General features: G+C 38.0%; 1 protein-coding gene across 36 annotated transcripts in view; it reads right to left on the bottom strand.

Moving 5' to 3' along the window:
• Positions 1-6546: 6546 nt before the first annotated feature.
• The window catches only part of SSX2IP (SSX family member 2 interacting protein), a 47040-nt gene continuing 30251 nt past the window's right edge, over positions 6547-23335 (bottom strand). For 14 of the 36 annotated variants that reach the window (XM_005270428.3, XM_047444208.1, NM_001166294.2 and 11 more), the window contains 6 exons: positions 21159-21309; positions 19189-19325; positions 18673-18846; positions 14724-14838; positions 13203-13368; positions 6547-10448 (listed from right to left, as the gene is read on the bottom strand). In XM_005270428.3, coding sequence (XP_005270485.1) covers positions 10274-10448; positions 13203-13368; positions 14724-14838; positions 18673-18846; positions 19189-19325; positions 21159-21309 — 918 coding nt within the window. In that variant the 3' untranslated portion in view covers positions 6547-10273. Of the gene's footprint in view, positions 10449-13202; positions 13369-14723; positions 14839-18305; positions 18430-18672; positions 18847-19188; positions 19326-21158; positions 21310-23335 lie in introns of those variants that run through there. The other 22 variants (XM_047444234.1, XM_047444231.1, XM_017000235.3 and 19 more) reach the window with 6 other exon arrangements.

Raw genomic sequence — 23335 nt, forward strand, 5'->3', positions numbered from 1 at the left:
TCAGCGGCATGCAATCAGGCACTTGCAAGTTCATCAGATTCAGTAGAAAATATGCTACAAAATGATTCCTGGTGTTCACATGTCCTCTTCACCATGTGTTAGCTATGTGGCGCTGGGCAAGTTTACCTTTCTTTGCATCAGTTTTCTCATCTATAAAGTGAGTATAACAGTAGCTTCTGCACAGAGAGTTGTTGGGAAAAGTCAAAGAAATGGCTTATTAAGGCTTAGTATGGTGCCTGCCACAGCAAGGGCTTGATGTATTTTTGATGGTTGTTTTTAATTTTTAAAGTTTCTGTCCCTCAAATAATAATGTTACAGATGTATAGAATCAGGAAAGCTGGCATGGAATTTTGAGAGGCTATCAGCAGTCAGCATATGTTAAGTGGAGGGACAAAAGGTGATCTTTTTCATCAGCTCTGCTTTAACACAAATACATATATCCCTAAAAACCATGTTTTGCAGAATTACAGTAAAAATCACAAGACCTATGGGGAAAATGGAGTTAGGTGCACAGCATTAAAAAATTTCATCAGGGCTGGGCATGGTGGCTCACGCCTGTAATCCCAGCACTTTGGGAGGCCGAGGTGGGTGAATCACGAGATCAGGAGATCAAGACCATCCTGGATAACACGGTGAAACCCTGTCTCTACTAAAAATACAAAAAAATAGCCAGGTGTGATGGTGGGCACCTGTAGTCCCAGTACTAGGGAGGCTAAGGCAGGAGAATGGCATGAACCCAGGAGGCGGAGCTTTCAGTAAGCCAAGATCACGCCACTGCACTCTGGCCTGGGTGACAGAGCGAGACTCCATCTCAAAAAAAAAAAGTCATCCCTGACTCATTAAAAAATATCCTAATAAAAAATGGTAGCAGAGTTTTATACATGTTAAGTGGTTAAGAAATGCATAAACAATACCATAAACATGATACTTTACCTTGAAAAAAACTGGAAGTTAGCTTGTGGAAGTAGGGGTTGGAAGGGTTGCAGCTTGTATGTTGTGAAGTGGTAGAAGGAGAGTTGTCTGAAATCCCAGGGGAAAATTATAATGTCAGATAGGGATGAGTATTGTTTATAACATATGTGGGAAACTGAGATAGATGGTAGTGTTAGTGGTGGTGAATATCCAAATTACCGATGGGTCTGCAGCAACCTAAATTCTTGCTTCTTCAGAAGAAAGAACTCGACAGAGGGGCTTAAGGCAGAAAAAGAGACTGAGGCAAGTTTCAGAGCAGGAGTGGAAGTGTATTAAAAAGCTTTAGAGCAGGAAAGAAAGGAAAGTACACATGGAAGGACACAAGCAGGCGACTTGAAGGATAAGTGCGACATTTGACCTTTTGACTTGGGGTTGAATATGCTGGCATACTTCCGGGGTCTTGCATCCCTTTTCCCATAATTCTTCCCTGAGGGTGGGCTCCTTGCATGCACAGTGCCCTCCTTGTGCTTGGGAGGTGAGCATGCACAGTGTGTTTAGGAAGTTGTAGCATGCTCACCTGAGGCTTTCTTCCCTCTTCTAGTGAAATGCCCCCGGGAGGCCATACTCCACCATTTTGTCTCTTCATGCATATGTTCAAGCTCACTCACCCAATTCCTGAGATTTTATTGGAAGCTGATTACCAATTTCAAGTGTTTTTAATCTGTTTGGGAAATTGCCTCTCCCTGGTGCCTGCAATCAATTATCATGTTAGTATGACAACTGTGAACCATCAGGAAATTGCCTCTCCTAGGCCTGGCTGCCAATGATCATTTTTAGAGAGGCAGTGTGATAACTGCCATACCATTATCTGATGGTTGCCTGACCATCCTGGTGGGTGGTGGGGGAGCCCTCTCCTGCCCTGCTCATGCCTACCTATCTACTGTAACAGTAGACATTTGAGATGTATATTTGTTTTGTGTGTTACTGTTTAGTTTGGATCAGCTGGGCACAGTTTTCTGCATTCACTTAGTGTTTCTCACTAACAGAATCACACATAAGCAAACACAAATTTTGCATTATGCTCAAATTGTTCCCTAATATGTCAACTGCATTGAGACAAACTTGTCCTTTTTTACATGGTGTTTATGAGTGTTATAGGAAAGCTGACTATATTAGGTTAGACCACAACTTGATTCCATCTTTTAGAAACTATACCTGAGGCATGAATTAAAGGAAGAAGCTTTGTAGGGATTAGGGTTTGTGAACCCAAAAATATCTGAGATAGGTATCAATTTAGAAAGTTTATTTTGCCAAAGTTAAGGACAGGCCCATGACATAGCTTCAGGAGGTCCTGATGACATGTGCCCAAAGTGGTCTGGGTGTGACTTGCTTTTACACTTTTTAAGAAGACATAATACATTCAATCAATACCTGTAAGATGTACATTGGTTCAATCTGGAAAGGTGGGACAACTTGAAGCAGTGGCTTCCAGGTTAGAGGTAGATTTAAAAATTTTCTGATTGGCAATTTGTTGAATGAGTTAGTTTATTTTATTCTATTTTATTTTATTTTTGAGACGGAGTCTCTCTGTCACCCAGGCTGGAGTGCAATGGCGCGATCTCAGCTCACTGCAACGTCCGCCTCCTGGGTTCAAGCGATTCTCCTGCCTCAGCCTCCTGAGTAGCTGAGATTACAGGCACGCAACACCATGCCCAGCTAATTTTTGTATTTTTTTTAGTAGAGATGGAGTTTCACCATGTTGGTCAGGCTGGTCTCAAACTCCTGACATCGTGATCCACCCACCTCAGCCTCCCGAAGTGCTAGGATTACAGGCGTGAGCCACCACGCCTAGCCTGAATGAGTTATTATCTAAAGACTTGGAATCAGTACAAAGAAATGTATGGGTTATGATGATAAGCGGCTGTGGAAACCAAAGTTTTATCATAGAGCCTCCAGGTAACAGCCTTCAGGGAGCATAGGTTGTAAATGTCTCTTATAAGACTTAAGGTCTGTGTTGATATTAATGCTGGTTAACTTTTCCTGAATTCCAAGAGGAAGGAGGGTATAATCAGGCATGTCTCACCCTTCCTTCCCATCGTGGCCTGAACTAGTTTTTCAGGTTAACTTTGGAATGCCCTTGGCTGAGAGAAGGGACCCAAATAGTTGGGGGGCCTTAGGATTTTATTTTGGGTTTACAGGTTCAACAATCAAAACTCAAGTCAGAGTTATGCTTACTTGGACAGGGCTTCCATTATACACAGGGTGATCATTTGTCCCAATTTCCACTGTGGTACAGGCCTAATCATGAATAGCTCCCCATTTCACTATCAAAAGTTTGAGTCAACAGGAATGTGCACCTCCAGATTTTGGGAAACCACACCACAAGCAACTGTGTCTCTGATGTACACCCCTTTCTGGCCCTCACTGCCAAGGCCAGAACCTGCCTCTGAGATTTACCATAGTCTTTTCGTTCCTTATCAAAGAATTTCAATTAAAAGCATTTATGAGGCCAGGCGTGGCAGCACATGCCTGTAATCCCAGCACTTTGGGAGGCTGAGGCAGGCAGATCACTTGAGGTCAGGAGTTTGAGACCAGCCTTGCCAACATGGAGAAACCCTGTATCTACTAAAAATACAAAAATTAGCTGGGCATGGTGGTGCATGCATGAAATCCCAGTTACTTGGGAGGCTGAGGCAGAAGAATTGCTTGAACACCGGAGGCAGAGGTTGCAGTAAGCTGAGATCACGCCGCTGCACTCCAGCCTGGGCAACAGAGTAAGACTCTGTCTCAACAACAACAAAAAGCATTTATGAGTTGTTTCCTCAGATATTTGCCCTTGATAAAAATGAAGACAAGTGCTTTGGAAATAAAAAGGCAATGTGATTTTTAAAATTCCAGTTAAAATTTTTCATGGTTTAAGATCAAAATAGCTTCTTTAGAACATATGTACCAAGGCTTTGTGTGGCTAGTTGTTGGATTTCTAGTTTTCTTTGGGGCATTAACACAGAATCTGAAAAACTATTTGTTTGGAAAAGTTTAATTTCACTGAGATCTAATTTATAGAGATTTTCCTTATTTATTTATTTTTTATTTATTTATTTTTGAGACGAAGTCTTGCTCTTGTCCCCCAGGCTGGAGTACAATGGCGTGATCTAGGCTCACTGCAACCTACCCCTCCCGGGTTCAAGCAATTCTTCTGCCTCAGCCTCCCGAGTTGCTGGGATTACAGGCGCCTGCCACCACGCCCGGCTAATTTTTGTATTTTTAGTAGAGATGGGGTTTCACCATGTTGGCCAGGCTGGTTTCAAACTCCTGACCTCAGGTGATCTGCCTGCATTGGTCTCTCAAAGTGTTGGGATTACAGCCGTGAGCCACCACACCCAGCCTTCCTTATTATTTAATACCTCTTTGCTTAAAAGGAATAACATTACAAAACCAAATCAACTAGTTATTAAGGTAAAAGATTTTCAAGATAAAAGAAACTAAAAGTGGCTAGAAATTAAATTGATATTCCACAAAAGCTTTATACTATTGGGTGACTATTTGAAAATTGCATTTCGTTGAGCCTCTTCACTAATTAAAAATGTGAAATACAAGTTTAGTTTGAAATAATAGTTCTGGGCTGAGAATTACAGAAGAAAAAAATCTCAAGGTAGGGTAAATAAATTACAGCATGTTTTAGTCAAGTAAAAACTATACTTACAGGTTAACAAAACCAGCCATAGTAGTCATGGCTAAGCACTAGCAGTCTAATCCTAGGGAACTCAGCTGTCTGATCCTATGCCTGGCTGGGATGAACAATTGACCACCTCGGTTTAGACATCATACATAATAGAAAATTGGATCCAAAAGCCAGAATGGAGGGTAGGTTCTTGTTATCAGTTTTAGGGTTCTAGGGAATATGCAAATGTTTACTTTTTTCTAATGAGTACACTGGGCTGGGGTATGGTTTGGTTTAATAGAACACTGTAAAAAGGAATGAAACTGTCATGACAGACCAGAAACAAGAAAATCTATCTAAATGCAGATGCAACAGAGAAACTAGAAAATATCCAGCTGCCCTACATCAGCCGTTTTCCTTCTAAAACTGAGTAAAAATATTCCTGTTAATTCTACTACTTTATTTTTCATGATAAAATGTCTGCAAAAGGTGACTGAACCTTTTGGACAAAATGAAGTATTTCTGGTCACTGTGACTGTAGCTACAGTTGGGACACGGCACACAAACTGCCAAGAGTGAACAAAATGGCAGGGCAGAAAAATACAGGCTGGCCAGAGGCGGTGGCTCACGTCTGTAATCCCAACCCTTTGGGAGGCCAAGGGGGGCGGATCACTTGAGCCTGGGAGTTCGAGACCAGCCTGTCCAACATGGTGAGACCCCATCTCTATAAAAAATACAAAAAACTAGCCAGGTGTAGTGGCGCACATCTGTAGTCCCAGCTACTTGGAAGCCTGTGGTAGGACTGCCTGAGCCCGGGAGAGCAAGGCTGCAGTGAGGCAAGATGGCACCACTGCACTCCAGCCTGGGTGACACTGTCACACACACACACACACAAATTGCAGGTGATCTAGACATATCTTCAGATTACTCAATGGCCTTTAGAGTATCATAAACTACTAAATTAGCTATTTCAATGAAATCCTTAGTATCTTAATTGCAGAAAGGTAGTGGTCCAACCCTGAATAGATCTGCCATGGTAACCAATCACAAAAAAATGAGGCCAAGTCTTGAACATGGACCAAATGATCACTACTTTTGATGTAGATTATAGGTGGCAGCTAATGGGTGAATAATTTCACTTAGAAAGCCCTACAAGCAGGCACTGCAGCAGTGTGGGAAAAGGTGGAAATTTAGCAAACCTAAGATATGGGTTAAAGTCTGGTCTTATCACTTAACAGCAGTTATGTGACCTTGGGTTCATTATTTAACACTTGAGTCTGTTATCAACTCTAAAAATAGGAAGGTTAAGATTCCCTGACAGTTGAAAAATAAAAGTGTTCTGTGCACTGTAAGATACTTTAATAACTAAATGAGTAAAACTACCATTTGAACATTCAGAAACTTGTATTATAAAAAGGTTAGAAAGTGTGAGGAGCTTTAAAATACATTCCTTCCAAAAATTAAGAATATTTGCTTTAATAATCAGCAATAAACCCCTTGCAGAGTAATATGCATGGACGAAATACCTAGCATCAACTACATTTGATAGCAGATTGTAAGTGCTCACCAAATAGCTACATGTTCTATACCTCCCAGTCTTGTTTGCAGTGAGGCTGTAGGTGGAAGGCATGTCTCTTTCAGGTCTGGCCCTTAAAAATATCCTACACCATCTGCTAGTCTGCTCGCTCTGATTTGGCGATGTTGGAGACCATGCGTCCAGATGGCATAGCTAAAAATGGAGGATTGCCCAGTTGACACTGGACATTTCATGAGCATAAATTTTATTACGCCACACCGACTTAATGTTTAATTGCAGCATAACCTACTCTATCATGATACTCTATATGCAAGGAATTGAGATAGGGTTGGAAGTACACATGCATAGATTCATGACAAGGTTCTTACCCTCTTGAGAAAGAGGAGTTTTAGGATTCTAACCCCAAACTTATAGTCCATTCATTCCAGTAAAAAAATGTGTTGTTTCATCAGTGTATTTCTCATCAACAAATATTATGTGCTGTTAAGCATTATACTAGGTACATGTATTTCTGAAGCTCAAATATATGAATGAGGTGGATCTTTATCAGGAGCTTCATATGTCACTGACATTACAGTACTTCCTGAGCTCTCAGGAATCCATTATTTGTAAATGTTCAAAAAAACCTCAACCAGTCATTTGATTTCATATAAATCAAATAATTTAATCAATATCCACCCACTCTAATTTACATCCAGCTTGAAAAACACTGTATTTAGAAAAAGGATTAGAGTGAGCAATTTCATTATCCTTATCTGCATGGACCAAGTCTTTGGGAATGCTTTTTCTACTAGATAATAATACACGCTCTTGAGGAGAGAAAATCCTACACTGCTTTGCAGGTCAACATTTTGATTGTAGAAAACAAAATCTAGCAAACAATCATCTGTTACATAGTACTTCACAAAGGAAATAATGCTAAGACTTATAAATGGAAGCCTAGCCACGTTACTGTTAAAAAACAAATGTGGCCTGGAGCAGACCCATCAGTCCATGTTTTATGAACAGACTGAATGTGTCCGTAGCATCCACCATTGTTTATTACAATGTAGGTTTAATAGTTGGCCTTCCACTCAGCTCAGATTCCTAATAGCAGGCAGCGTGCTTATCTGTCTTCATATCACCAAGGATTGGAAAGCAGTAGTAAGCCTTGACATACAGCAGGTACTTAATAAATGCTTACCAAAAGACTGAAAAAGGACAAAAATAGGGAAAAGTATATTTACTAGACTTCCATAATCCATACTTACTTTAAATTCAATCTAGAAATAACATGACTCATATTAGGCAATATACTTTGAAGATCTGTACAACATAGTAATCACAGCAGGGTCTTGCTAACTCACAAATTTAGCATACATGCTGCAAAAACCTCTCTCCTGGAGTCCCAAGGGCTTTCAAATGTTCCACCAGGGGCAGTCAAGACTAGATTCACGGTGCTCTCTTCATCATGCGCACAAAATGTGTTTTCCCATAACACCATATTATCACAAGTCTATGAACAATTCTGGTTAGCTAAGGTAGGCAGTATAGAACTCTTTACAAATAACAGTATTTCAATTATGCCATGTAAGTAAACAATTTGCTGTGAACTGTCCTGTGTATCTAATCATTTAATACATTGCTTCTATAAGAAAATACTATTTGTTAAATTTTAGTCATAATTTCATTGTTTCTCATCATAGACTGCAGATGCAAACATTTAATGGTGAACAAAATGTTTATCTCAATTTTTCTTTGACATTTTTATGCTTTGAAAATTCAGAATGGATAAAAACAAATGAAGTACAAAATATTTCAGATTTACATAGTGATAAACAAGAAAGCACTTATCAGGAGGACTTACAAATGGAAGTACACTCTAGAACCATCATCTATCATGGCTAAATGTGAGATTAGCACAGCTGTATTATTTGTACATTGCAAACACCTAGAAAGAGATGGGAAACAAAATCCCAGGAGTTTTGTGTGTGGAGTCCTGGGTTTTCCAACAGACATCATTCCAGCATTCTGAGATTAGGGTGATTGGGGATCATTCTGGAGTTGGAATGTTCAACAAAAGTGATGTTGTTAGGTAAAATGTACAACTTCTGGATCTATGCAGACATTGAAGGTGCAATGAGTCTGGCTTTTACTCTGCTGTTTCTTTCACACTTTAGATTTTAAAAGTACGTCTCAAGGAATCTTTCTTTCCAATTTGAGAACTCAACTCACTTTAAAATGGAAACACGCAACAAAAAACAGATGCTGCTTTCTAGAACTCCATTGTCATGAAATATAATATTTGCTAAAATAAGAGATTTACTTTAAAAATTAGAGTGCTTATTTCTTGCAAAGTACACCATGGAAAACCCTCGGGGGAAAATTGTTGCCAAATGTATCCATTAACTGTATTTAAAATTTCTGATTGCCTTTTTGACCATGTTATTGCTAAATAGCAAAACAAACAAAAACAAAAACAACAAAAATCCTATATCCCAGCTAGATTTCTTCCTTTAGCATATGGTAGTGTCTTCGATATTTTGTACAATGTGTAGTATTTTAAATAGTAAAGAAGTGACCATGCATCAAGCTGAAGGTAGTGACTAATGCTCAAGAGCTAGCTCTTTAAAACTATAAATATGGTTACTATGAGTATATCCACTAATGTCTCATAAGACACTCTTAATGATATCCTATCAGCCCTGAAAAAATGGCTGCTGCTATGCAACTCCAAAGAGTTACATAGTTACGTATAGTGAATGGACAACACAAATAGGTGGGTTTTTTTTGTTTTTTAATAATATGAATTTAAAATAGCCACAAACAGGGTGAGTGCATGTAAGCGGCTGAACTGCCAGTACAGGGGAAGGTAAATGGGCCTAAACTATGATACCTAGCAAGGGTTGGATCTGTGCAGGCTTCTATGTACAGAGACAAGCAGGGTTAGGCACTTAAAGCTTTTTGATGAAAATCCTGGGAAAGAGCTGAGCCTACATTTATTATTATTACTATCAAAACAACAACATACTTTTCATGAAGAAACATGCAATCAGAAACATTACAGAGACTGAAGAGAGCTTAAGAGTTTTCTGAAAATGAAATGACATGTTTTTCCAGAGTATCATCTCAATTATAAAATTTGATGGTTTTATATTATCATATTTCTTCAGTGGTAAATACCTCATTAAAAAATTATTAAAAAATTATTGACAATACAAAGCCCTAGTTAGTATACAGATATTACTATACTGGTACCCATCTTGTAAGGAAAATATCACCATCTAGATATCTTAAATATCTTCTATCATCCAATATCTTAAACCAATTTCTTAAATTGTTTTATTCAAAGGTACTTTTGTCGTCTTGCCCCTATTCTTCTATCATCAATAGTCCTTTTAAAAATTATAATATTCTACATATACAAAATAAAAATCTAATGTCATAAAAATCTCAAAAATGTAATGTTAGTAGTGTTGATTATCTAAAGAACTCAGCTTCATGGAATACCTTTCAATATTTATTGCCCAGATGTATTAAAGAGAATTCTTAAATGTAATGCATCAATGGTCCTAATACATCTGTAAACAGAATACCACTAAAAAAATTTTACTGGCATGAAATACTATACTTATGGTTGTGTGAAACTTTTAAATCTTAAAGCCTCTTAACATAATCATGTGTATCTATGTACAAAACATACATAAATTTCACTTTATTTAAAACATATGAAAGAGGTAATTTCAAACCACACTAAACATAATAAATATAGAACTCGCTTTGTTAAAAATCTACAGTATACATTCAAGTAAAGGCTAAACTTCCAATGCCAACTATATTTGAGACAAAATTAAACATTTACAATAATCAGTTTCCTAAAAGTGCTATTTTTAATACCTATAAGAGGAAACTCAGTCTAGTGCTTTTGTTTCCATCCAAACATCTATACATTCCTTTATTCACAGAACCAGATGCTTCTGTTACTAAAAATACATATCCAAAGCTTTTATATCCTTTTAAATAGATTTAAGATTTCAACTCTTTGGGGGAAGACAGGGAAGTCCAAACAAACAACTCAGACCATCTTAAGTTATTAGAGATAACTGACTTTATGACACACCCTGTTTCAACTTAGATGTGAAACTTGATGAACACATTAATGAAAAAAATTCCAGTCCACATGTCTAAGGTAAGTCATCTTTTTCTACATGAGAATTTGTGTAGCTCAAGGAGCATCCACTATAGCAACCTTCCTGTGATCCAGGTCTTGATGCCACACTCCATTTTTGATTTGTACATTCTCCTCCAACCTGATTTGGTTTAATTTCTTCAGCAGTTATATTCAGTACATTGATTGAACTGTTGGGAAAAGAAAGGCAGATCTTAGTGACTATCCTCTCCTTCTTTTGTACTTTAACCTCATAATGTGGCACTCTTCAAAAAAAATAAGTTCCTTTTAATTCTAAAAATCTAGGCCAAAAATATAATTTAAAATTTTACTTGGAAAAAAAAAACGGCTGGGAGCAGTAGCTCACACTTGTAATCCTAGCACTTTGGGAGGCTGAGGCAGCCGAACTGCTTGAGCCCAGGAATTCAGGACTAGCCTGAGTAACATGGTGAAACCCTGTCTCTACAAAAAATTAGCTGGGAGTAGTAGTGCATGCCTAGTTTAATCATTTGTACAAGGGATTCTGATGACCAAATTACTATAAATTTATTTACCAATACTTATAGTAATTCGGTCATCAGAATCCCTGTACAAATGATCAAACTAAGTTTTTTAGGTAACTTACGCACAAGTCTCCTTGCCTGGAATCTAAGGCACAGCCTTTATATAAAATTCCATTCTACAGTGAAGGAACAATGAGGATGTTGTAGAAATTAGCTACAAATACTCCTAATTATTTTGTTGCAATATTAATATAAACCGAGATCCAAAATGCTTCAGGAGCAAGAGAACCAAGTTTATCAAATAATTTAAAATGTGAAGAACCAAGTCAGGCTGCACAGCTTCTCTATTAGTTATAAAACTTTTTTCTGTTTGTTTTATTCTTAGAGGCTAGTTAACAATGAATACCTTGAATTTCTTTAAGCTCCAAAATTGTTTCTATGCCACGGATGTTGTTTAGTGGAGCACTCAGAAACAAAAAAAGCATGTTTATATTTGTTTACATATATTTTTATTTTTATAGTCTGTCACTAAATGTTTTTAAGTGCTTTACATACATTAACATTTAACTTGCAACACCCTATGATTTAGGTACTAAATGCTGAACTTTATTAAACATAAAACAATGTCTTCAAGAAATGTTTATGTCAAATATTTCACAACTAAAAATGATGTAAAAAGCTAAATATTTAAAATATATAAAAACAATTGAGACAACTATGTTATGCTATCTCTTAGATATAAAATGCATTATTTGTGAATGGTGGCTAGAATTTGTGTCTATATCTATACAGATAGTTCTGACTGGTCAAATTTAGAAGTTTGAATAACATTCTATGTAAGAAAATACTATAAGCTTACACATTATCTTTTGATTGTAAAATAAATAAACTTTCACTTCCCATATTCAACTCATCTACTGGTCTAACTTCAAAATAGATCCCAAATCCAAGCATTTCTTCCTTCATATTATGACCCTAGTCCAATTACCATTGTCTTTCGTTTCCACTCCAATAGTGCCTCCTAACTGGATTTCCTGGTTTATATTACAGACTCCTACAATCTGTTTTCAATATTATAAAACAGTAATCTTTTTAAAACTTAAGACTTTTTTTCACTCTCTTGCTTAAAACTAGTGTTTTTTCTATTCCCCTTAGAACAATATTTGACCTGCAAATGCACACTAAAATATTCTGTAAATGAAATCCCAGATGTGTTGGGGCTGGGGTGGAGAGAGCAAGCAGAGTGGGATTATATATGAACAATATTGATCAGAGTTAATAATTGCTGAACCTGAGTCATAGGTACACGTGGGTTCACGATCTTATCCTCTCTGTATATTTGAACTTTTACATCTCTCCATCCTCATCTCACACCTCTAGGTCTTGGTCACCATTGCAAATGTATGAGGTGTGTCCCACCCTCAGGGTTCCTACACTTGGCTAGAGTGCTCTTACCTAGCTCTTTTTCATCCCCTCTAACATTTACTTGGAGTCCTAATCCCCCCACCTCTTAAAAGTCAACTACAACTTATAGTGTGTTCTCCTCCTTCTTTTAAAAGCTTCCTTTCTTGTTTTAAACTCCATCTATTTCATAATTCTTGGCCCAAGGGCCAGCTGGCTTCTTCGACACTTAGTTCCACTCCAGTCTCTAACACAGGCCGAGTTTGCTTCAGCTCTGACTGTTTTCCAAGGCCATTATCTCCTACTTTTAATTAAGAGCAAAGAGATTACCACCATACTTTCCAACTTACCCCTCTGATCTTTTCTATTCCTCTCTGTCTTACTAGGAATGTTCTACCTGCTTCCTCTTCTTCGTTTAAAACTAATCTTGGAATTGGCACTGAAGCAGAGTATTGATCTTATCTTAGAAAATGATATAATAACTTGAGATACAGGAAAACACCAAAATGTAGCAATTAAGAGCAACATATGGGTTTCCCAGGGTGGAGAGCCATGTTTTTTTACACTGTCATCCTTGGGCACAAATCTTTTTCACTCAACAGGAACAGGCTTTTCTCAGTTCTTTGCCCTTCAACAACAATAAAATGGGCATGCCGGAAAAAAGTGTTAAGATATGTACTCTACAAAAACTGTCAAAACAATATCCTTCCATTTAATACAATTAAAGTGCTTAAAATATTAACTCCTATAATTAAGACTACATTCTAAATTGTATCTTAAATGTGAAATAAAAAGACACACATCATATGATTTACCTCCAAGAAGACAACAGATCTACCTGTTCACTAGTGTATTTCCAGCATCTAGCACAGTGTCTATATATACTGGACACTCAATATTTGTAGAATGAATAAATCATCTACTAAATTCCTCTCCAAAATCTCTATTGTTGCTAATACTACAGACATGCCACCTTTCCCTTAGCAGTGCAACTTTAGCAATTTTTAGAAACACGTGAAAAGATCACCTATAGACAAATACCTATGTTCAGATATGCAGGAACGTGTCTGGCAAAAGTCTGAAGTGGAAGGTGAAGCAGGAAGAGATTTAGTAAGTTTAGACATGCAAACTGGAGACCCATTAGACACACTGTGAGGCTTCTTTTGCGGCTGCCTCGAGTGCACTATAAGATTGTCCCAATCAGAACCTGTTGTAAAACAAGTAAGAGAAAAAGGCAGTACATATGGTGAGGCATTAAATATAGTGAAGGTAAATCATCAGGATGATTCATCTGCGGTTCTGAGTGAGGAAAGAGATGGAACAAATTCAAATTAATTATCATTAATCTTGCTTATCTTTGTTGCATAGTCCACCCATGTTTAAAAGGATCTTTTTTTTTTTTGAGATGGAGTCTTGCTCTGTCACCCAGGCTGGAGTGCAGTGATGCGATCTTGCCTCACTGCAAGCTCCACCTCCTGGGTTCACGCCATTCTCCTTCCTCAGCCTCCCGAGTAGCTGGGACTACAGGGGCCCGCCACCATGCCTGGCTAATTTTTTTGTATTTTTAGTACAGACGGGGTTTCACTGTGTTAGCCAGGATGGTCTCGATCTCCTGACTTCGTGATCCACCTGCCTCGGCCTCCCAAAGTGCTGGGATTACAGGCGTGAGCCACCGTGCCCAGCCAAAAGGATCTAGTTTTAAAAATATTTCTAGGCTGGGTGGGGTGGCTCACACCTGTAATCCTAGCACTTTGGGAAGGTGAGGCGGAATGACTGCTTAAGCCAGGAGTTTGAGACCAGCCTGGGTAGTATAGCGAGGGCTTGTCTCTACAAAAAAGTTTTTAAAATTATCTGGGTATGGTGGTGTGTGCCTATAGTCTCAGCTACTCAGGAGGCTGAGGCAAGGAGGATTGCCTGAGCCCAGGACGCTGAGGCTGCAGAGAGCCGAGATGCACTCCAGCCTGGGTGACAGAGCAAGACTACATCTTGAAAAAAGAAATTCTCAATGTAAATTTTCAAAAACTTCGCATTATTACAAACTCACAACAAAAGTTACTTTGGGCATGCACAGTCCCCCTCTCATCCTCACTTTCACTACAGTAAATAAAATATTAAAGTTGATTTTTAGGCCAGGCGCAGTGGCTCATGCCTAATCCCAGCACTTTGGGAGGCTGAGATGGGTGGATCACCTGAGGTCAGGAGTTCAAGAACAGCCTGGCCAATATGGTAAAAACCCGTCTCTACTAAAAATACAAAAATTAGCCAGGCGTGGTGGCACATGCCTGTAATCCCAGCTACTCAGGAGGCTGAGACAAGATAATCGCGTGAAGCTGGGAGGCAGAGGTTGCAGTCAGCCAAGGTCACGTCACTGCACTCCAACCTGGGCGACAGAGCAAGACTCCGTCTCAAAAACAAACAAAAAAAAGTTGACTTTTAGTTATAATTAGAGAGCTCTAATTGGTGATTTCCAAAGTTTTGTATTAATAATATGTAGTATTTTGTAATATGTAAATAATTTTATTTATATGCATGTTCAAATTAAAGAGTTTATAAAGTACTCACTTCCTGAGAAGGCACTGAAAAGTTTCACATTTTCTGAGTTCTGGTGGTCAAAGGTAGTCATATTTAGAAACTGCTGCTTTAACCAACTGGCTCTTTCTTCTTCAAATGCCTTTCTCTACCATAAACAGCCAAAGAAATAATGATCAATATTTCAACATCCACACAGTTGCCATTTCACATGATTGCTCTAGCTATCTTTGTTTGCTCTCTGGCTATCTATTCGTACTTCTTATGTCAAATGAGTTAACCTAAAAAACTAAAAATAATTTCAGCACTCGTCTGTAATCCCAGTATTTTGGGAGGCTGAGGGTTGGTGGAGCACTTGAACTGAGGAGTTCCAAACCAGCCTAGGCAACACGGCAAAACCCTGTCTCTACACGAAATACAAACATCAGCTGGGCATGGTGGCACAGGACTACAGTCTCAGCTACTTTGGAGGCTGAGGAGGGAGGATGGCTAGAGGCTGGGAAGTTGACGCTGAAGTGAGCCGAGATAGCACCACTGCACTCTAGCCTAGGTGACACGGCAAGACCGTATCTCCAAAAAAAAAAAAAAAAAAAAAAAAAAAGCCGGGCGCAGTGGCTCATGCCTGTAATCCCAGCACTTTGGGAGGACAAGGTGGGCGGATCACAAGGTCAGGAGTTTGAGACCAGTCTGGCCAACATGGTGAAACCCCATCTCTACTAAAAATACAAAATTTAGCCGGGCATGGTGGCGTGCGCCTGTAGTCCCAGCTACTCAGGAGGCTGAGGCAGGAGAATCACATGAACCCAGGAGGCAGGGGTTGCAGTGAGCTGAGATCGCACCCCTGCACTCCTGCCTGGGCAACAAAGCAAGGCTCCATCTCAAAAAGCAAAACACGGCCGGGCACGGTGGCTCACGCCTGTAATCCCAGCACTTCGGGAGGCCAAGGCGGGTGGATCACGAGGTCAGGAGATCGAGACCATCCTGGCTAACATGGTGAAACCCCGTCTCTACTAAAAATACAAAACAAAAAAAATTAGCCGGGTGTGGTGGCGGGTGCCTGTAGTCCCAGCTACTCAGGAGGCTGAGGCAGGAGAATGGCATGAACCCAGGAGGCAGAGCCTGCAGTGAGCCAAGATCACGCCACTGCACTCTAGCCTGGGCAACAGAGTGAGACTCCATCTCAAAAAAAAACAAAAACAAAAAAACTAAGAAAAATTTCACTTACGAAAAAATTATGTTTAAAAAATAGAAATTCATCTGTTTCACCTAATAAACCAACCATCACTGTCTTCATATCAATTTTAAGTTCAAATAAACAATGCAAAAAATGGAACAGAATATTAGCATAACTTTTGAACATACAAAACATTATAAAGTTACAAACAAAAGAAAAATAATCTATATTGTAAATTAGTCACTTGAAAAACAGGACCTATGACTTCATCAAGCATTTCTCTCATCCTCTAGCCATCTACCAGTACTGGTAGCCACCACCACTAAACCACAAGAGGGCATAGGCAAATTATGTCAAACCTCCCCCTTCTGAATAGCTGATGAATCCTAAACTAAATTCTCCATCAGCCCTCAGGTCTTGCATGCCTCCCTCCCATCCCTCACTATGCCCACTGTCCCAGTGACCAGACGGAGAAAAATTCTCTTGCAGGGAAAGGCACCTGGCAACTGGGAGCAATATGCAAAGTAGCAAGAGTAATTACTCTCTTGGAGTAATGTGGGGAATAAGGGCTTGGAAACAGGTAGGAGACAATGCTGGTCAAGTGTTGTTCCCTGAAGATAGCTACTGATGAAACAGACGTTCACACTGTGAACTGAGGAAATCCACGTCAGCTACTGAAAACAAGCAACACACAGTCTTTCATTCATAAATATTGATACAGAATCACGCATCACCAAACATTGAGAAAACTAATATAGAAAAAAGGTCAAGATAAATAGAAAACTGACCATGGATAAGAGATAATTCAACAGATGAAAGAAATCTTTTTTAAAAATGTAACAAATATTATCAGATTAATAAACATCTGTAAAATACCATCATGCTATATAAAGAAAAGCAAAAATTAAGGACATTAGAAAAATTTAAAGATAAATTCTGAAGCAAAGACTCAGTGGCTAAAGCAAATAATAAAACTGACCCTGAAAGGCCAGTTTCGTGATCTCTAAGATAAAGGTAAGAGAATATCCCAGAATTGAGAACAAAAGTCAACCTGTAGATATATATTCAGAAGGCCAAATGTGTGTCTAACAAAAGTTCCAGAACACAGAGAAGTCAAAGAAGGAAAAAATAAAGAAGAAAATTTCCCTAAATTAAAGAAATACAGAATCTTTAGGATGAAAGGAACTCTCTAGAAGTATCCTGGTAAAATTTCCAAACTTTAAGAAAATACCAAAGCTTCCACAGAGGGAGATAGAAAACAAAACACAGTTATCTACAAAGTAACACAGGTATATTACAATCAGGCTTCTCATCAGTAAAACTAAACACTAGGAGAAATGGAATAATTCAAAGTTTTGAAGGAAAAAAAACTGGAATCTAAATTCTATACACAGCCAAACCAATCAAGTATGAATATATTTTTGACTATTCCAGAATTCAGAATGTTTACAGCTCATGCACTATTTATAAAAAAAAAATTACTCAAGAATTAGTAATTACTCAATTACTAATATAGCGAATTGAACAGAAACCCAAGAAAGACAGTAACATGAGATATGAGCAACATGGCAGCTGAAATCTGATTCAGGAAATCACAAAGGAAGCTACAGAGAAAAAGAATTCACTAGATAGTGATATATCTCTCTGGGTGGCAAAGTCTTAATAATACAGAATATTTTCTGTGTCCAAACATATTTGGTTATAGAATAACATTTACATAATTGTAGTATTATCAATTTTCTTTCCTGGTTTTCCAACTTTTAAGTCTCAAGTTTAGACAAAGTACTTATACCTGGATTGTATTAGAGGACAAACTATGAATGTGATAACAATGAAAAATAATATCACAAAAATTGCAAAGTAGTACAGCAAGAGAGGTAGAACAAGAGTAACAACAAGAAAGTCCTCAGCTTTCACTGCAGGGATGAACTGATACTGACTGAAGTTGAACAAACATGAAATGGAAGCTTTTTATTATTTCCTTAAAGCAAAAAAAAGGCAAGCAGACGAACAAGAGGAACAATATTATGAAGACATGAGATGTGAATGAGGAAGGGTGTAGGTAGGAGGTACAATAAGGACACAGAATTCCTTATCTTTCATAGCAGGGAATCAATGAACTGATAAACAAGAAAACTTGAAATACATTAAAAGTTAAAATAGTACTTCCTAGAAGAATTTCCAACAGATACTTTTTAACAGCAGTTACCTCTAAGGAATGAAACTGAGGATGAGAAAGGAGGATACTTTCTTACTTTGTAGCTTTTTTTAATGAGTTTTGTTGATTTTTTTTTTTTAACCTTATTCAGACATTACTGCTACAATTTTTGAAGGGGGAATATGTAGATGACACATTGCTAAGTAAAAAAAGCAAGCTGTAGAGCGTATATATAACAATGATGGACTGGGGAGAAGAGAACTTAATTTTTTATTATACTTCCTTTTTAAACAGCAAATATAGTCTTGGTTGCACTGTCTTCTGACACCACACCTACTGACCGTGGATGAATGATGGATACCCAAAAGAGATTTCTTGTGTAAAACACTTAGCAGGAGAAAGCCAATCTGAAAGCAGTAATAAATGCTTATAGCGTTTTTTTTTCTTAAGTTCAATTCTCAAATCTGGTAAGGGGAAATGATCCCATTCTATATGCTCAGCCTCCCTCTCATTTCAAATTATTTGTGAGATCACCAGTAAATATTTTAGAAAATAAGTAAATAGCAAGAAAAAAAGGAGACCTTAGAAGCATTCTACTGAGGCCCACCCACCCCCAGTATTTTCAAAAGCACTACAATTGTTTAAAATACCTCCAATCCCAGGCGAATAGCGGCTTCTGTAAAGCTTCGTCTCTCCCTCTCAAAATTCTTTTTCTGCTCTTTAAAAAGGGACCATTCTTCTTTGAGACGTTCCTTTTCTTCCAACAAATAACAGTCTCGTAATAGTGAAGTGGTATCATCATCATATGCAGTAGCGAGCTGCTGCTATTAAAATTTAAAACATAGTAAGTTCCTGAGGGACCTTGCGACACTCCAACGAGTTGAAATGAAAGCAAGGGAAGGCCAGTCAAACTTCAGGGCAGGAATAGAAATTATTAAGAATCAAAAAGTCAAATGAGAATTCTCATTTCCCGAAACCTACTACCCCAACTAGCAAAGTATGGACTATTTAAGGAGTGGTACACAATGTATCTGTTAGCAGGGAACACAGACTAGAAATCTGTCAAATACCAGGGCCTTATGAAATAAAGGAATACAAATCTGGTAAGGTTCAGCACAATTCTGGCTTTTCATGGAGAACAGCTTTAAAAGGTAATTCATATTCACCTGTAAAAGCTGTTGCTGAGTTTTAATCATTTCTTTACACTGCTGAATTTCTAACTCGAGTTTTTCAGTTTCTTGTTCATGGTCTTGTCGTGAGATTACATCTTCATCATTAAAACCTTCCAGGTGTACCTTTGAAACTAAGACAAAATCAGTAAGTTGACATAGGTCTTATAGCCACCACTTAGTTTACAGTGTTTTGCACATATCTTTAAAACAAGGGCTCTCAGAACTTTTATCTTTCTAGAATTTTATAGGTTTTCTAAAAAGTAGTTACGTCCTTTGACTTTTTAAAATTTCATAAGCTATAACAAAATTAAATTTATATTATTTTAACATTATAAAAAATGTTTAAGCAAAGCAACTACAGGAGTTCATGACGACAATTACACATTTGTGCAATTTTAAGACTAAATGATATGCTTACAAACAGAGCTCTATTGCCAACAATTTGTAATCCATATTTATTCATGATTATGTCCTAATTAAAAACAGACAAAATGGCCATATTCAGAGAAGAGAAAAATAAAATCATGTTTTTGTTGACACTGCTTCAAAGATCAATGAAGTGTCACAAATCTTGCTCTCAAATATTAAATTCAACAAATACGAAGTCCAAACATACTTGCTATTTGATAATAAACAGCATTGACTCAAATGAACAAAATCTCATGTAGATTCATTTTGGTGCTGTAATAATAATTTTGCTGATTGCTCTTTACTAATACTTAACACAATGGCACTGAGTTCATATTTTGACAATTTAAATTTTTCTTTAAATAGGCTTCATTTACTGAGCAGAAATCTTCATTTTCCTAGTTTAAAAGCATTCAAACTTTACCAAGCAGAAAATATTAAGAATATATTCATCAATGTAGAGCTATGTATAAGGATAATAGTTAAGTGAAAAAAGCACACTAAAGAAAAATATAGGTAATATTCAATTTTTAAAATTTAAAAAAAAGTAAGTATCTTTCAAATCCATAGAGGAAAGTATAGAAAAATATGCACCAAACTGTTAAGTGTTATATGTATGGAATAGAGACCAGGATATTCTACTTTATATACTTCCAAATTAATATTTTGCATTAAACATCTATTATTTTAAAAATAATTTTAAGTGAATTACTAGGAACATAGTAATCTGCAAGCATCTAGAAATAAGCAAAATGTTCCTATCTATACTACGATAAATATTTCTTGATTTTTGAGAGTCAGTAAAAGAGACTCAGTTTTCTCTTTTTGGGGGGGAACAGGTGGTGTTTGGTTACATGAATAAGATCTTTAGTGGTGATTTCTGAGATTTTGGTGCACCCATCACCCAAGCAGTGTACACTACACCCAATGTGTAGTCTTTTATCCCAACTCAGTTATCTTTATTTGATTGTATACTGCATCCAGAGCAGATGGATCCATGATGTCCTCTTTTCAAACATTCACTCTGAGACCAAAGTGTATTTTTCTCAGTGAGGTTCAAACCTCACATCTAAATGTATGTAAAATGTCGGCTGTGCACAGTGGCTCACACGTGTAATCCAGACACTCTGGGGAGGCCAAGGCAGGTGAATCACTTGAGGCCAGGAGTTCAAGATAAGCCTGGCCAACACAGCAAAACCCCATCTCTACTAAAAACACACCAAAAAATTAGCTGGCTATGATGTGCGCCTATAGTCCTAGCTGCTCAGCAGGCTGAGGCAGGAGAAATAACTTGAACCTGGGAGGCGGAGGTTACAGTGAGCCGAGATGGCACCACTACACTCTAGCCTGGGTGACCGAGCAAGGTTCTGTCTCAAAAAGTAAAATAAAATAAAATAAAATGAAAAAATAAATGTATGCAAAATCTTGCTTTCAAACCACCAAACTGAAGTATAGTACTTTAGCTCTGAGCCTATAATGCGGCTTTCTAAGTGACTAAAAATCAACACCTTACCAAATGTCACAACTCACTTTACATGCATAGAAGCAGTGGTTACCTTGGTTATCAAGCTTTTCTACATGACTTTTCAAAATTCTCCACTGTTTTCTGATGCTGTTTGTAAGCTGCTCTCTCACAGTTTCACAGGAAAGGTCCCACATACTCTCTCTGCTTAGTTCCCCGGCATCTTCTTCAACATCGGAAATAACCTACAAGCGGAGAGAGATGAAGAGGAAAGGCTAGTACCTTACAATGGCTTTAGATGCTCAGGCAAGTAGTCTTCAGTTTGATTACCAGAGGAAGCCACATCAAAATCATTTCTGTGCTGTGTCTTATGCATATATGGCCCAGTATTTAAATGTCTTGAGAAAAAAAATGAGACTCCTAAATTCAGCTCTCTCTAAACCTGAATTTGAATCCAAATACAGTTAATGACAAGAGTCATGAAGCTGTCTGAGAAGGAGATATCACTACCTGTCTAATGTGTTGGATGTTTTCACGTTATTTAACCCTCAGCTCATTACAATGTGGGAAAACCGAGGTTTAGAGAAGCAGCATTACAACTAAGAGGCAGAACTGATATTTGACATTAGATCAACTTGTTTCTAATCCTAGGCTGCTTAAAGAAATGCACTTGTGAAATAATCTCTGAAGTATTTAATAAAAGCAACTGTTAATTCTATTTTCCTCATATACTTTTTTATATAACGGGAGATACTTTTCTTTGTATTCTGCCAAACATGAAATCATAAAGAAGTAGCAAACTTTACTGATATATGATCACACAGAATCAAAGCAGGATAAAGAACATGGGGAAACAATACTAAAAGGGATATATGTCATAATAACCCACATCTACATAAAGTAGTTCTAATTTGTCATTAATATTCAGGAAGGCAGAGAGATATACTTCACTAATTTGAACAATAAAAATCTTGCTGGGGAAAAAAGAAAGATAAAAGATGAAAAGAAAGAAGGGCTGATTCGACTGCTCGCACATGGAGATCAGCAGGATGAGGGAGCAACTGAGTCTGAAGAACTCTATCAGTAGTTGAGGTCAGCAATGGGCTAGCAGAGGTCAGGGTCTCTGAGGCGGAGCAGACAGGGGAATGGCCCAGGATCCGGCTCATGGTGATTCTAGCCCCTGCCAATACTCAAAAGCTACTTGCCAGTAACTCTTCCAAGGAAGCACAGCTTCTCTTCTGAACATTTTAAAGCCTATTAGAATACTACCAATCTGTTAGAAAAATTATTGGCCGGGCGCGGTGGCTCATGCCTGTATGTAATCCCAGCACTTTGGGAGGCAGAGGTGGGTGGATCATGAGGTCAAGAGATCGAAACCATCCTGTCCAACATGGTGAAACCCTGTCTCTACTAAAAATACAAAAATTAGTTGGGCGTGGTGGTGCATGCCTGTACTTCCAGCTACTCAGGAGGCTGAGGCAGGAGAATCACTTGAACCCGGGAGGCAGAGGTTGCAGTGAGCTGAGATGTCACCACAGCACTCTAGCCTGGCGACAGAGTGAGACTCCATCTCAAAAAAAAAAAAAAGAAAGAAAAATGAATAATTATTGCACATTTCTCAGATTGAACAGAACTCTCTAACCACAAAATGAAAATAAAAAATTCGGCTGGGCACAGTGGCTCATGTCTGTAATCCCAACACTTTGTGAGGCCAAGGTGGGATGACTGTTTAAGCCCAGGAGTTCGAGACCAGCCTGGGCAACAAGACCCTGCCTCTAAAAAACCAAAAAACAAAACAACAAACTCATTTTACCTGAATTTTCGGTATATGTTTTACAAGTAAGTAGGTCAAATAATAAATGAAATGTGGATGCTACCTAGGCATTCCAACATTACATCTTATTTCTCTTGCTATAATGCTTCAAAAATCTTTCCCTACAAAAATTAAAGAGAAAAGGGAGCTAGAAAAATGGATCTTTTAAAACTAGAATATATATTTAAGAGGTCATTGTTCATCCACTTAAACATGTGAATTATGAAGAATTATACAGGATACTACCCACTGGCTGAGTAATGGGGGTGAGGAGGGTTTAATCACTGAAGAAAGATCTCCCTGACTTACCACATACTTTTGCTAACTGAAATCTGATGATGAGACGTTAAGGTTGGACCAAAAACTGAAGATGCTGCAGTAGTAATGGACACTATGCTAACCTTGAAGAAGTATTAGTGAATGCTAAGAACTGACTAGAAGTGACAGAGTTTGAGATA

Source organism: Homo sapiens, chromosome 1, assembly GCF_000001405.40.
Source record: "Homo sapiens chromosome 1, GRCh38.p14 Primary Assembly".
Lineage (NCBI taxonomy): Eukaryota > Metazoa > Chordata > Mammalia > Primates > Hominidae > Homo > Homo sapiens.